The 16,311-nt window shown below is 34.8% G+C and overlaps 1 protein-coding gene and 1 long non-coding RNA gene across 16 annotated transcripts in view; one reads left to right on the top strand and one right to left on the bottom strand.

Moving 5' to 3' along the window:
* NDST3 (N-deacetylase and N-sulfotransferase 3) overlaps positions 1-16,311 on the bottom strand; it is a 225,313-nt gene that overhangs the window by 127,296 nt on the left and 81,706 nt on the right. The window lies entirely within an intron of this gene.
* LOC107986307 (uncharacterized) overlaps positions 1-16,311 on the top strand; it is a 149,690-nt gene that overhangs the window by 73,088 nt on the left and 60,291 nt on the right. For 2 of the 4 annotated variants that reach the window (XR_007058241.1, XR_007058240.1), the window contains exon 3: positions 5,237-6,053. This is a non-coding gene — a long non-coding RNA (uncharacterized LOC107986307). Of the gene's footprint in view, positions 1-5,236; positions 6,054-16,311 lie in introns of those variants that run through there. The other 2 variants (XR_007058243.1, XR_007058242.1) reach the window with 2 other exon arrangements.

Raw genomic sequence — 16,311 nt, 5'->3', positions numbered from 1 at the left:
TGAACTTGAAGACAGCCTATTTGAAAATACACAATCATAAGAGACAAAAGAAAACCAAACCAAACCAAACCAAACCAAACCAAAACAACATAGCACACCTATAAGATCTAGAAAATAGCCTCCAAAGGGCAAATCTCAGAGATATTGGTTTTAAAGAAGAAGTAGAGAAACAGATAAGGGTAAAAAGTTTATTCAAAGGAATAACAGAAAACCTCCCAAACCTGGAGAAAGAGATCAACATTCGAGTACAAGAAGGTTATGGAGCACCAAGCAGATTAACTCAAAGAAGACTAACTCAAGGCATCTAATAATCAAACTCCCAAGAGTCAAAGACAAAGACAGAATCCTAAATGCAGCAAGAGAAAAGTAACAAATAACATTCAATGGACCTCCAATACATCTGAAAGCAGACTTTTCAGTGGAAGCCTGACAGGCCAGGAGAGGGTGGCAAGACATGTTTAAAGTGCTGAAGGAAAAGAACTTTTATGCTAGAATAGTATATCTGGTGGAAATATTCTTCAAGCATGAAGGAGAAATAAAGACTTTCCCAGACAAACAAAAGCTGAGGAATTTCATCAACACCAGACCTGTCTTATAAGAAATGCTAAAGGGAGTTTTTCAATCTGAAAGAAAATGATATTAATGAGCAAGAAGAAATTGTCTGAAGGTAAAAATACTGGTACACTGGTAATAGTAGGCACACAGAGAAACACAGACTATGATAACATTGTAATGGTGGTGTGTAAACTTCTCTTATCTTAAGTAGAAAGACTAAATGATGAACCAATCAAAAGTAATAACTACAAAAACTTTTCAAGATATAAACAGTACAACAAGACATAAGGAACAACAAAAAATTAAAAAGTGAGTTGATGAAATTAAAGTGTAGAGTTTTCTTTCTGTGTTTATGCAATCAGTGTTAAGTTGTCTTCAGTTTAAAATAATGAGTTACAAGACAGTATTTACTAGTCTCATGATAGCCTCAAATCAAAAAACACAACAGAAACAAGCAAGAAGTTAAAGCACAAGAGAAAATTATCTTCACTGAAAGGAAGACAGGAAGGAAGAAAAGAAAAGAGAGACGACCCCAAAACAACCAGAAAACAAATAACAAAGTGGCAGGAGTAAGTTTCTACACGTAAATAATCACATTAAATATAAGTGAACTAAACTCTCTGATCAAAAGACACAGAGTGGCCAAATGGATGAAAATACAAGACTCTATGATCTGTTGCCCACAAGAAACACACTTCACTTATAAAGATACACATAGACTGAAAATAAAGGGATGTGAAAAGATATTCCATGCCAATTGAAACAAAAAATGAACAGGAGTAGTTATCCTTATATCAAACAAAATAGATTTGAAAACAAACACTGTGAGAAGAGACAAAGAAGGTCACTATATAATGATAAAGGAGTCAACCCCGTAATAGTATATAACAATTTAAAATATATATGCACCCAACTCTGGAGCACACAGCTATATAAAAAAATATTATTAGAGCTAAAGAGAGAGATAGACCCCAGTACAATAATAGCTGGAGATTTCAACACTCCACTTTCAGCATTGGACAGATGTCCCAGACAGGAACTCAACAAAAAATATTGGACTTAATCAGCACTATACAACAAATGAATCTAATATATATTTATGGAACATTTCAACCAAAGGCTACAGAATACACATTCTTTTTCTCAGCACATGGATCATTTTCAAGGATAGACCATATGTTAGGTCATAAAACAAGTGTTAAAACATTTACACAAATCTAAACAATATCAAACGTCTTCTCTGACAACAATGGAATAAAACTAGAAATCAACAAGAGGAATTTTGGAAACTATACAAACTCAATGGAAATTAAACAATATGCTCTTGAATGATCAGTGGGTCAATGAAAAAATTAAGATGGAAATTGAAAAACTTTCTGGAAAAGAAATGATAATGGAAACATAACATACCAAAACCTATGGGATACAGCAAAAACAGCACTAAGAGGAAAGTTTATAGCTGTAAGTGCCTACATCAAAAAAGAAAAAACCTTCAAATAAATAATCTAACAATGCATCTTAAAGAACTAGAAAAGCAAGTGCAAACTGAACCCAAAAATAATAGGAGAAAAGAAATAATAAAGATCAAAGCAGAAGTAAACGAAATTGAAATGAAGAAAACAATACAAAAAAGTCAATGAAACAAAAAGGATTTTTCTAAGATAAACAAAATCAGCAAACCATTAGCCAGATTAACAAAGAAAAAAAAGGATGAGGACCCAAATAAATAAAATCAGATATGAAAAAGGAAACACTACAACTGATACTGCCGAAATTCAAAGGATCAGTAGTGGCTACTATCAGCAACTATATGCCAACAAGTTGGAAAATTTACAGGAAATGAATAAATTCCTTGGCACATACAACCTACCAAAATTGAACCATGAAGAAATCCAAAACTTGAAAAGACCAATAATAAGTAATAAGATTGAAGACATAATAAAACGTCTCCCAGTAAAGAAACACCTAGGACTTGATGGCTACACTGCTGATTTCTACCAAACATTTAAAGAAGAACTAACAGCAATCCTACTGAAACTATTCCAAAATATAGAGGAGGAGGGAATACTTCTAAGCTCATTCTATGAGGCCAGTATTATCCTGATACCGAAACCAGATAAAGACACATCAAAAAAAGAAAACTACAGGCCAACATCTGTGATGAATCCTGATGCAAAAATTCTCAATAAAATTCTAACAATGCAAATCCAACAATACATTAAAAAGATCGTTTATCATGACCAAGTGAGACTTGTCCTTGGGATGTGAGGATGGTTCAATATACACAAATCAATCAATATGATACATCATATCAACAGAATGAAGGACAAAAATCATACAATCATTTCAATTCATGCTGAAAAAGCATTTGATAAAATTGAACATCCCTTCATGATAAAAAACCCTCAACAAACTTGGTATAGAAGGTACATACCTCACCATAATAAAATCCATCTATGACAGACCCAAAGCTGGTGTCATACTGAATTGGGAAAAACTGAAAGGCTTTCCTCTAAGATCTGGAAGACAACAAGGATGCCCACTGTCACCACTGTTATTCAACATAGCACTGGAAGTCGTAGCTAGAGCAATCAGAAAAGAGAAAGAAATGAAGGGCATTCAAGCTGGAAAAGAAACAGTTAAATTATCCTTGTTTCCAAATGATATAATCTTATATTTGGAAAAACCTAAAGACTCCACCAAAAAACTATTAGAACTGATAAACAAATTCAGTAAAATTCAAGATACAAGATCAACATACAAAAGCCAGTAACATTTCTATATGCCAATGGTGAACAATGTAAAAAACAAGTCAAAATGTAATCTCATTTATAGTAGCCACAAATAAAATTAACTACCTAGGAATTAACCAAAAAGTGAAAGATCTCTACAATGAAAACTATAAAACACTGATGAAAGACATTAAAGAGTACACCAAAAAAATAAAAAGATATTCTATGTTCATGGATGAGAAGAATCAATATTGTTAAAATGTCCATACTAAACAAAGCAATCTACAGATTCAATGAAATCTTTATCAAAATGCCAATGATATTTTTCACAAAATATACAATATAATCCAAAAATTTATATGGAACCACAGAAGATCCAGAATAGCCAAAGCTATCCTGAACAAAAAGAACAAAATTGGAAGAATCACATTACCTGATTTCACGTTATACTAAGGAGTTATGGTAACCAAAACAGCATGCTACTGGCATATAGGCAGATACATAGACCAATGGAATAGAACAAAGAACCCAGCAACAAATTAATACTCCTACAGTGAACTCATTTTTGACAAAGGTGCCAAGAACATACATTGGAGAAAGGACAATCTCTTCAACAAATGGTGCTTGAAAAACTAGATTTCCATATGCAGAAAAATTAAGCTGAACCCCTGTCTATCACCATATACAAAAATCAAACCAATATATTAAAGACTTAAACATAAGACCTCAAACTATGAAACTACTATAAGAAAACATGGGGGAAACTCTCCAAGACATTGGTCTTGGCAAAAATGTCTTGGGTAATACCCCACAAGCACAGGCAACCAACAAAAAATGGACAGATGGGATCACATCGAGTTAAAATGCTTCTACACAGCAAACAAAACATTCAACAAAGTGAAGAGACAACCCACAGAATGGGAGAAAATATTTGCAAACTCCCCATCTGACAAGAGATTAATAACCAGAATATATAAGAAACTCAAACAACTCTATAGTAAAAAATCTCGTAATCTGAATAACTAATGGACAAAGGGCTTGAATAGACATTTCTCAAAAGAATACATACAAATGGCAAACAGGCATATGAAAAGGTGCTCAACATCACTGATCATCAGAGAAATGCAAATCAAAACTATAATGAGATGTCATCTCACCCCAGTTAAAATGGCTTTTCTCCAAAAAGACAGGCAACAACAAATGCTGGAGAGATGTAGAGAAAAGAAAACCGTTATACGCTGTTGGTGGGGATGTAAATTAGTACAACCACTATGGAGAACAGTTTGGAGGTTTCTCAAAAAACTAAAATTAGAACTACCATATGATCCAGCAATCCCACTGCTGAGTATATACCCAAAAGAAAGGAAATCAGTGTATCAAAGAGATATCTGCACTCTCATGTTCGTTGCAGCACTGTTTACAATAGCCAGGATTTGGAAGCAACCAGTGTATATTAACAGATGAATAGATAAAGAAAGTGAGGTATATTATGAGGTGTATATATATATATATATGTGTATATATATATATATATATACACATACATACACACAGTATAATAGTACACAGTGGTGTACTATTCAGCCATAAAAAAGAATGGGATTCAGTTACCTGCAACAATATAGATGGAAGTGGAGGTCATTATGTTAAGTGAAATAACCAAGACACAGAAAGACAAACATCACATGTTCTCACTTATTTGTGATATATAAAACTCGAAACAATTGAACACGTGGAGATAGAGAGTCGAAGGATGGCTACCAGAAACTGGGTAGGATAGTAGATGTTGCAGGGGAGGTGGGCATGATTAATGAGCACAAAATATAATTAGAAAGCATGAATAATATGTACTATTTGATAGCACAACAGGATGATTATAGTCAAAATTATATAATTATTTGAATTTGTGAAGCATTTTCAAGCTTCTAATGATGATTTGTTTTCCTAAGGTGACACTGATGGGCTACACCACAATTCAGCTTATAAGAACCTGTGGAACCTCTGGCACCTGTGGAAGGAGTCCTGTAGTAGCCGCAATCACTGGAAGAAAGTAAGAAATGGTATGGATGTTGGCAGAGTGGCCCAATATATGTAAAGTTGCTATTCAAAGGAAGCTGACTGTCTTCTTAGCCTACAACAAAATAAGGCAAGTCAGGATCATTAGATTAGGGAATTTAGATTTGGTACTACATGCAAAGATTATTAAATGTTAGACTATGTTCCTGTGATAAATGATAATATTTCTGGTATGGTTTGAAATGAAAAATCTTGAAAGAATTAATTACCTTAAGCACAGGAATCTGATTTTTCATTTTCTAAAAAATTGTAAAATAAAGGGGTTGTACAAGTAGTCACTAAAGTCCAGGTTTATAATTCTGTGTTTCTTTGACATAATCTTTGTGGTTTTAGAAATGATTTTATATTCAGATGCTAAATACGAATGTACTATTTTTAATCCATGAACAAACTTAAACTCCCATATACAATTTTCTTTCTACATACTTAAGGATGGAATAATCTCCTAAAATATGATAGACACAGTTACATAAATTTGGTTAATATTTATAGATTTGACCACTAACTATTTCTCTAGTTTTCTTACATGGTGCTCCTTGATTTATAATATAAATTTTGGTTTGCTGGGTGGTATGTGAAAAAAATTTCTGTGATGACAATGTTGTTTTTAGTAGATTTGTTTTAAGGGTTCAAGAATCATCCCCTGTTGGCAGCTGTTGTATTAATAAAGAATTTGTCTGGTCTTCCTTATCCCTGATTCCTGGGAGATAACTCCTAACTCTGTGGAATTTCCTGAGTGATAGAAATGTCTTTGTTATTTATGGTGATACCCTGAAATTATATTTGAGTTTATGCTAACAAGATGACTCAGGATGAAGGTTAGTCATGCCAGGAAGTCCCACCATGTAATTAGAGAATGAGAGCTTTGAGCAAGGTGATATCAGCCTGATCTTAGGGTAGGCGAGAGGAGTTGGAAATTGAGTTCAATCATGTGGCCAATAATACAATCAAACATGCCTATATAATGAAACCCTCATAAAAAAATCTGGAACTTGAGGTTTAGGTGAGTCTCTCTGGGTAGTGATATTCCTATGGATCCAGAAACCTGAGGAAGGAGATATTCTTTGTCTCACAAGATAGCAAAAAATATGGCTATAAAATAAAAGTAACAAAAGTCTTTGGATAAAAGTGTTAAAGGTGTTAATAATGAGATCTTGTAAAACTGAATGGCATTATAGCAACTTATAAAACAGAAGTGTCACCTTATCACTCTGGAGTTACTCATCTCCGGAAAAGAGATGAGTGTATGGTGTTTAATTTAGTATACAGTAAGAAAAGAGTCTTATTCTTTCAATATCTCAAAATAGCCAAACCCATGACAATGAAATTTTCCTTGTACCAGGAATCCTAGGGATAGAGAGTAGGATACTATCATGAAGAGAATACAGATTTAGGAGAACACAGATTTGAGTCCCCGGCTCAATCTCAGTGCTTCTCTTCATTGGTCCCAGGACCCTAGCAGGTTATGCAAATTCACCGTGCCTCAATTCCCTCATTTGCCAAGTAAGGGTAATAAAACTAATGATCTCACAGAGTTGTCCAGCATGAAGGATATAAACAAAGTTATTGGTCAAATGCCATTTCATTTTCTTTTATTTAGTTAACAGTATTCTTTATTTGGGGGAAACAAAAACAAGCAAAACAAAAAAACCAAGGTAAACTAAGACTCCTCTCACCATTACTTCCATTCTCAAACAATTCAGAGTGCTTATTTCAGAGCAGACATTCCTCAAAGAAGATACATTGTCATTATCAATCATGTCTAAAAACAAAGTCTTACTAAACAATATACATTTCTTCTATTATACATATTAGATATTACATATAAAGTGGGAGGGAAGGAATACCTCTGGTGTACCATAAATTTGATAGAGCTGTAGAAATAACATAAGCAAAAACCCCTTCTTAACACCACATATTCCTCTTTAAGTATTATCCCAAGTTAGCAGCTAAATTATTTCAAGAAATGGAATGACATTTTGTAAGCCAAACGTAGTAAGAAATTCCAGTAACAAAAGTTAAGCTAAAAATGTAGTACCAATACTGAAAAAGGGCTATAAAAGGTAGCATACTTGGCTTTAATTTTCATTTTCACTTGTAACCTTTAAGAAAAGAAATATTTGGGGGAGAGTGATTTTCTCCCAGTCTTCCCTAACAATTATAACATTTATTTCAAGTACATTTTCATTTAACTGAGCATGTTGTTTTCCTCTCTTAGAGTTCCCTCCAGAATTTTTGAAGTGTTGTCATATCTTTGTTGAGTGTCTCATAAGTAAACATAGCACTAAAGGATGCGCTTTTGTGAGAATACTCAAAAGAATCATGTAAACACTTGTACTTTGCACAGCCCAGGTTGGTATTTTTGAATTGCTGGGGTGTATTCAAGTAAACACAAGAAAAGGTTTATAGAAATGTAAAAAAAATGAATGTATGAAGCCTTACTTTTTATGCTGTAGCAAAATAACTGAAAAGAAAATTATCTGGATTCATAATGGAGGAATTGAAAGTTTGGTTTAATTCAGCTTTCTCAGAGTTTGAAGTTTATGTGGACCTTTGGGGTCTTTGAGAGGTAAGAAAGCTATAAATAATCCAGGACAGCCTCAAATTCTCAGAGTACTTGCACACACATTTAATCTCCCTGAAAATATGCAAGGTTGATTAGGAATCTTGAAGTCTACATAGTACTAATTTTAAGTGAAGTTTAATATTTCTGAAAGCATAAAAAGTTGATATTGATTTTTGTTATAACCACCGTATACTCTCTGGTATTTATAAAAGCCACCAGGACAGTAATGCTTGCAGCACTGAGATCGCAAACACAAGAAACTACATAAATCCTATAGACAGCTCTTTAGGAGAAAAACATTGTAAAAAGTCAGATTGTATTCTGAATTTGTGTAAAAATATAATTCCTTAAAGAAGTAATAACATTTTGATTATGAGATCTGTGTAACAGCAATAACAGTATCAATGGCATGGCTACTTGTTAATTTTACAAACCATGGTTGTTACATGGGCTTTGGAATTAGACAGACCTGGGATAAAACCCTTTCTCCAGCTTTCACTGGAAAATTTATATAAGCTCTCTAAGCCTTGCTTTCTTCATTTTCAATACGAGAATAAGCAACCTCACAGGTGGTTGGGAGAATTAACCGAGGATGTATGGAAAGCCCTAAGCGCAATGTCTAGTAAATATTTTGGAGCTCAACAATTTATCTTCCTACATTTCCTTAAGAGAGTCAAGAATCTTTCTCACTGAACCGTAAGGTTCTGTTTCATGCAGCGGAAACAGAGTCACAGAATTTCAAGTTTCACGTTTCCTGATCTGAGCAAAAATTAAAGGAAAAAAACGGGAAATTGGGGAGACTAGTTTGGAGGCTGGTTTGGAGGCTGCTGCAATAATCTAGGTGTGGGCTGAAAATTTGGAAGTGAAGTAGAGATGGAAAATTTTGAAAAGGAGCAGGAGCTGGTACAAAAGAAAGAAAAAACTGAAAGAAATTGTTAAATGCATGGGAACATGGAGTGGGAGACACAAAAATGCCAAAGCGGAGCCAAGGTTAGCACTCATGTGAAATTGACTCTTACTTCTTCTGCCATCACTTCCATCTCTGCCATGTTTATAACCACCTCTCAGAATGCAAGTGCCCCCTCCATCTTAAGTAAATGAAAGGCGTAAAAGGAAAGAGCAGTGAAAATTCGGGAGCAGCAGGAATGGATCTGGAAATAGACCTCCCCCACCCTCATACCCACATCTGACTCCAGCCCACTAGTATGAGTTTCTAGGAGAATTCATAAAGGCTGTTAGTTCATTTTGTGTCCACATAAATTTGGACAGTAAGGCACTATTTTCATGCAGTACATGTGCTAAATTTATCTTTCTTTTTATGAAATCGTTTAAGTTACCAGATAAATGTGTTGAAGATGAAATCTAGTATTTCTGTTAGAGGAAAAAGGGAAAGGAATTGAGGAATTCTTTCTACAATGTCTATCTTGTTAGAGAGTATGGAGTCTTCCCATAGGATGGAAAAGAAGGTAATCTGGACAGGAATTTACAAAGAAAAGAATTCCAATCAAAACCACTTTCAAAAGTTCAAATGATATATCCAAATGAGAATACATTTTGCAGTACTGTAGATATGGGTAAGAGGGGGTATCCTCATGTAGGTGAAATACAGAACTTCTAAAGAAAAAGCAGCAGTTCACCTTTGCAAAAAGTTTAAAGAGATACACACAGATAGAAAAGTGGGAGGCTTAAACCCTAATGTTATTTTTGACCTGTTATTCTCTTATGCTTCCTCATCATCCATCTGATTAAAAACTTATTGAATCTATGTCAGAAATACTTTTCACATCTCACTTCTTTATGATCCCGCTTCCACTGGTTTAGTTAAAGCTGGGTTTTATTTCCTATTCTTTGGTTAATTTATTAGTAATCCAGTATGTCTACTTACATCCAATTTTCCCCTGCTTGTCTTCATCCTAAACACTCCTTCTCTAATGTTCTGTGATTCTGCCACCTATGTGGAGGTGCTAGAACTTAGGAGTAGATGACAGTGTTATCTTGGAGTTCAAGATACTTAAAATATATAATTCTAAAAATAATTAGATATGATGTTTCAATTTAGAAAAACAGATTTTAAACTATTCTGGTGAAAAAATAGATGTGAAACAATTGCTAGAAATATACCAAGGGAACACAGCTAAAGGATATGTATTGCTCTACCACAAATCTCTAACCATATTAATATGTTCAACAATACTAATAACTTGAAGATGCAAAAGTCATACTTGTAAAATATAGGGATTACACAAAGCTAGGAAAGATATAAAGCATTTTAAATAACAGAGTCAGTCTTTAGCAGGAGGTTGATATACTAAAACACTGAACATATAACAAATATGGAATATTAAAGGGACAATTGTAATTCCAAGGCTAGCATTTAGTTTGAAAAATCAACTGGATAAAAATAAATACTTGAAGGTTTAATAAATGGCTCATGGACAGAGGGTCGGGCAGACACAGGTGTGATATGATGGTGTAAAAATGTAATGTGATCTTTGGCTACATTAATAGAAGTAAAGTGCACATGAAAGAAAAAATATTTTACCATTTTCTGCTTTGATAACACCACATCAGTGGACAATAATGTTCAGATTGGGGGATATAAGAACGACAAATTAGAAATTATATGAATATGACAGCTGGGATGGTGAGGGGCTTTGAAAACCTGTGGAATTGCTTCAAGATACATAACCGGGAGAAAGCATCATGCCTCTTTATTTTCTGTATTTCTGATGCTTTGATATCTGGGCCTTGCTGACTCTGGAGAGATTGCTGTTCTCAGGCTAGTCAATTCCAAGAGATAGCAAACACCACCCTGAGAGCACTCTCAAATGTAAATCAAGCAATTCAGAGCTCCTACCCTCCTCTGCTTCCTTTATCAGACTCTCATATGTTGAGCAACTATCTCTTTGATCTAATCACCCCAGATCCAAGTATTAGATGACTAAAGACAGCTCTTACACCTCAGAGCATACTGAAATTATTCAAAGTCGCCAATCCTGAGCCTGCTTACCCTGTCTTGCCTTACCTTTCCCGCAGAAACCACAGTAAAGGCTCTTGCCCACCTTTCCCCCCTGCTCCCTCTGCCTCCTGAGCGACCCTGGTGCTTCCCCTGTGGCCCTGCATCCTTGTGGCACACTCCCTCTCTTGGTAACTGGGAATAACAAACTGATCTTTTCAATGGCAGTCATCTCCTGATCTACTGGACTCATCATACCTGTATAATAATAAAACCTACATTTTAATACAGTAATGATAGAATCTTAAGAGCTAGAAGAAACGTTTACTTTTATTTTTATTTAGCAAACATTTACTACCTACTAGATGTCAAGCACCATTCTCTATACATAACTTATCTAGATTGGAAGAACTCTACTTCTTAAATCTATATGACTTCCATACTTTTCCTTATAAATATACTGATTCTAGTCTCTTCTAAATCTTAAGACTGACTGATTATCTTCTGGAATGATAACGAAAAATATCTACCAACCAGCATGCCATGCCACTGACCAATCAGAACTGCTGCCAGCTGGACAGCTGGAGATCGGTGCTGGAGACTCTTTCTGGGCCAGGCCCCTTTAGTTCCTGAGTAATGGGGGAGATTTGGGACACCTTGGGGAAGAATCTGATGTGGTAGCAGGATAGGGGTAAAGTATTGTCACATTTCAATATTGTAATAACTGGCATGGCCATACCAGTACTCTTAGTTGAATAGTAGCCCTGATAATATATCCCTTAGTCTTCTCTTTTACCTCTTGCCTTCTTGAATTTCCTTCAGCTATTCATTTTATGAAGTAAATTATAGACTTCATCATATTGGTCATTTTGCTCTGAACAATGGCCAATGTCTTTCTAAACTGTGCTGCTTGAATTACTCTAAAGTGGCCTACCAGCTGAGTGGACTCTTTGCAACCCGACTGGAATTCTCTATTAGGACACCTAGAATTATACTTTGTGTTCAATGTCAATAAAAGGAAAATCTCATATGCCTTTTTATAAAGTGCATCACTGAAATAAAAGTGGTAGTATTCATTCATTCTCTAGCTGGCAAGCAAACTAATTAAAAGATTGTCATATATTCCTTAAGCCAGCAAGTCTTTCAATATATTTTAAATTACATTTTGATACTATAATCTTTATTTCCATATTGGAAAAGTTAACATGCTCACTAATCTAAAAAGTTTTATAATTGACAATAGACATTCCAGCTAATGTAAATTAACAGGTTCTGCTGCACTTGGAAAAGAGAGGCAAAAAGGACACCATTTAAAAGAATGATGATGATACAATTAGAAGTTCAATCTTCAGTAAGATTTTATGTTATCAGGAACATTGTTCTACTACTACTACTTTTAATAGTATTGTCTATAAAAGCATTAAGTATCATCTGATATTGGCAGAGTTCTATGATAGAAATATCTATTAACTATTTTATCATTAAAAATTTAACCACCACCATTTTCCAAAATTTAGATACAGTTCTTCAATTGAGAGTATATACTATTGAAGACTTTTTTGAGGTTTAAATAGAATACTATTTTACCTTTCTAATGATATGTTATTCTATTTTACACACTGTACAGTTGATATTTTAAATTTTGTGGTAGGTCATTATTAATGATACATTTAATCTTTGTCTCAGAATTTGTACCTTTCCAAAAAAAAATCCCCTGTTGAAATTGCAGTTTAACCCCTGAATTATCCTATATTTGGTAACTAAAAATTTTTTCCATTCAACCTCTAAAGCTGCATTTCCTGATGGGTGTAATCATCAAATGCAAGTTTGCTTAAAGGATTTACTTGACCTTTCATAATAAACTGTTAGAGCTTTCAAAGACAAATTAAAATAGACATCAAATTTGTTTGTGAGTCAGATGTGTCCACATTGTGCAAAAGGATAATAGATAAGATGTATTTGTTAAAACTCAATGAAAATAGCAGGTATGTGGCTGTAAATGATGATAGCAAAGGCCGAAACCCAAAAGTTTTAGATCACAGTCTCGGAAATTCTCTTAGCTGGAAGGGTACTTTAAATGTCCTCTAACACAATTACCCATTTGAATATTGCATCCATGACCTCCATTCTTGTTTGAACACCTATTTGCTCCCAAGACAGCCCACTGCTTCTTTGCATGTTTTTTCACTTTCTTCATTGGGAAATACCAACACTCATTTTAAAATCAAGAGCCTCCAAGCTGGTGGAGAAGAGCAGGATATAATCCAATTTAGAAATGCCATATTAGCACAGGTTAAACATTTGCTTTGTTCCATCTAGTGAGTTGAAGTAGAATTTTCTCCAGAGTACTTTTCATTGAATTAAAGTGGATTCTGTAACTACACATGAGAAGTGATATTTGGTCAAGTGGAAATTTCCTCAGATTTAGTTTTTTGTCTCCCCTACCCCTTCGACCCCCTCCAACATTTTAGAGACTCTGCCTATATTAGGGAACTTCAGGGAATCCGAGGGAAAAGTTGCCCTGTGAGTTCCACCTCAAGTTCTCCATTTCCTTTATATTACCAGCATAACCAGATATTCCCTTGGATTACCAGCAGAAAAGAAATCTTGATTCACACCTGTGAATTGGGTTGGGAGGCTAGGGAGGAAGCCTCGGCAGGGGGCACACTTTATGCCACATTAGAAGACCTAACACTGCAATTTATGCAGCATTAAGATTTCTGGTCTTAATTATACTGCTAGTGAGTTTTATAATCATGAATAAGTCACTGCATTTCTCTGATTCTCAGTTGCTTCATCTATAATGGGAAAATAAATAGACCTACAATTCCGGGTTAATTTGAGAATTAAAAGAAATAATAAAAATATGTTAAAATTGGAAACCCTTGATCTTTTCTTATTATATCTTTAAAGTCAGCAACAATGCAGTTTTGTAACCCTAATGCTTAATGGAAAGTAAAAGAGTTAACACATATTTAGAAATTGGGTAAAATTCACATTAAACAAATGCCATCCCAATACAAAGTAAACTTTTAAACTTAAGGATTTTTGTCCCTCTTACCTGTCAGTCCAAACACCTCAGGAGCCTGGGCAAAAATTAAAGATGGCAATTTTGTGATACTAGATATAATGATAAAAACAGCAGCTGCCATCTATTGAGTGTTATATGCTAATTGCTGTTCCCAAATGCCTTATTTATATGTGCTCTTTCATATTGTTATGGCTGGGGAGGGACTGGTTCTGGATTCAGTCTTTTTTCATATCTATCCTCTTGCAACAAAATAAATTCTACTTGTCCTGGATTTGATTAAACACTAAATAATATATTTGGTCTTATTTCTGAAGATCTATTACAACTACTCTCTTCTGCTTCAAAAACAATAATTTGAATTGCCAACATGTAGTTAGGAATGACGCTTCTAAGAAATCTGCTTTGCTTAACACTTAGGTGGTTAAGAATGACCAGATATTGTTTTTGAATTATTCTTTTACACATGATACTTTTTAGTTGGGAATTCTAAAAAATGCATGTAACTCCTGTGCATGCCTGTTCTAGCATATGTATTAAGTATATTCTTTTTTTTTTTTCTTTTTTTGAGAGGGAGTCTGGCTGTGTCGCCCAGGCTGGAGTGCAGTGGTGCAATCTCAGCTCACTGCAAGCTCCACCTCCTGGGTTCATACCATTCTCCTGCCTCAGCTTCCTGAGTAGCTGGGACTACAGGCGCCCGCCACCACACCTGGCTAATTGTTTGTATTTTTTAGTAGAGACAGGGTTTCACCATGTTAGCCAGGATGGTCTCGATCTCCTGACCTCGTGATCCGCCCACCTCGGCCTCCCAAAGTGCTGGGATTACAGGCATGAGCCACTGCACCCAGCCTAAGTATATTCTTAGGATATGTACTTCCAAATATCTGCAAATGTTTTAAACATAAACATAATATTGGCATTCATTGATTCGTTCAAGTAATTTCTAGATACTATTCTAGTTTTCAGCAGATGTAACAGTGAATGACATGTCTTTTATCAAAGCTGCTTTGGTACATTATTTTTGGAAAGCTGTCAAAACAGCAACAACAACAACAACAATTTCACTCCTCACTTCTCAGTATCTTATCTTTTACTGGTGCTTTACTTTAGTGTATTTACGTATTTTCGTCTCTCACAAATCCCTTTCTCTTTTTCTCAACAGATTTAGAAGTAAACCACAAAGTAATTTTTTCCCCACATAATTTATTAGTGATTAACATTGTCAATATCAACAGTCTAGATTTCTGAAAATGACAGAATTAATGTCTGCTGTTTTGAGATATGAGTTTTAGCACTTTCTATTACAAATTCTGGGGCCGTTTTACCAATTTTACATGCTGCTTATTATTTGTTTATTTTTTTAGGAAAAAAGATGACTCTCCTTCTCACAGCAGTTTGCATATACCATCAAAACATTTTCACAGTATCAGCATGGAGGAGCACTATTCTTGCTTTCTTGACAAAATATCAATATGTGGCAAAGGTGCACCTGAAGCTGTTTGTTTATTTGGGGGAGTAGATTGAAGCTAAAAGACAAATATGGGCCCCTGATGCCACCATAAAGTATTTGGTCTTGTATATCCTCAAGAAAAAAAATATAGTGTATACATTCTAACCTTGTCTTGTATATATTTGAGTAAGGTACTGTGAGAACCAACTGAAACTTCTTAGTTCTAACAGTTGGTGTAGAAAACCATTCCATGTAAGTGTACCTCGGTACTCTCTCTGATCACAAGCACATTTTTCTTCATAATGTGCTTATTTAAACTTTTACTATAAATTTCCCTGTCCTGAATATAAACCCTTCAGTATTACATGGTGTACCTTGCTTCAGCCAAACAAATGTTCCATCCATACAGCATATATGTTTGCAATGCTTTTAACTGTTTAGATTGAGTCTTTATTACCTCATACAGTCATTATGGTCTCCTACCTGCTCTTTTCCCTCAGCCTCATTTCATTTCAATTAATCCTGATCCCGAAGATTTATTCTTATTTCAGGACGTATCTAAAATCTTATTTCCAGAAGAATCCATCTTGGGCTACTCCCAGTGATACTTATTTCTTTGAACTGTGGGTTTTGTGGCTGTAAGGTTTGTCATTAGGTCTTGAAAAAGTATTTCATTTTGTTGGGGAATTGTTTAACATGCATATTTCTGCCTTCTCAGTGCAGCAGGAAACTCCTTCTGGACAGGAGCCATGTCTTAGGTGCTCTGACCATAATGTCATAATAAATCTTGTATTTTGTGAGGTCCCTCTCAAATTAGATCCTTCAAAACATTAAGCATAGTGGTGAGCACTCAATACAAACTCAAGAGCCACATACTGAAAGGCGGCAATACCAAAATATTCCAAATGATCATATGGAAAAGCCACTGAAAAGCGCAACTATGCCACA

This window comes from Homo sapiens, chromosome 4 (genome assembly GCF_000001405.40).
Source record: "Homo sapiens chromosome 4, GRCh38.p14 Primary Assembly".
Taxonomy (NCBI): Eukaryota; Metazoa; Chordata; class Mammalia; order Primates; family Hominidae; genus Homo; species Homo sapiens.
This window is presented reverse-complemented; position numbering and strand designations above follow the sequence as displayed.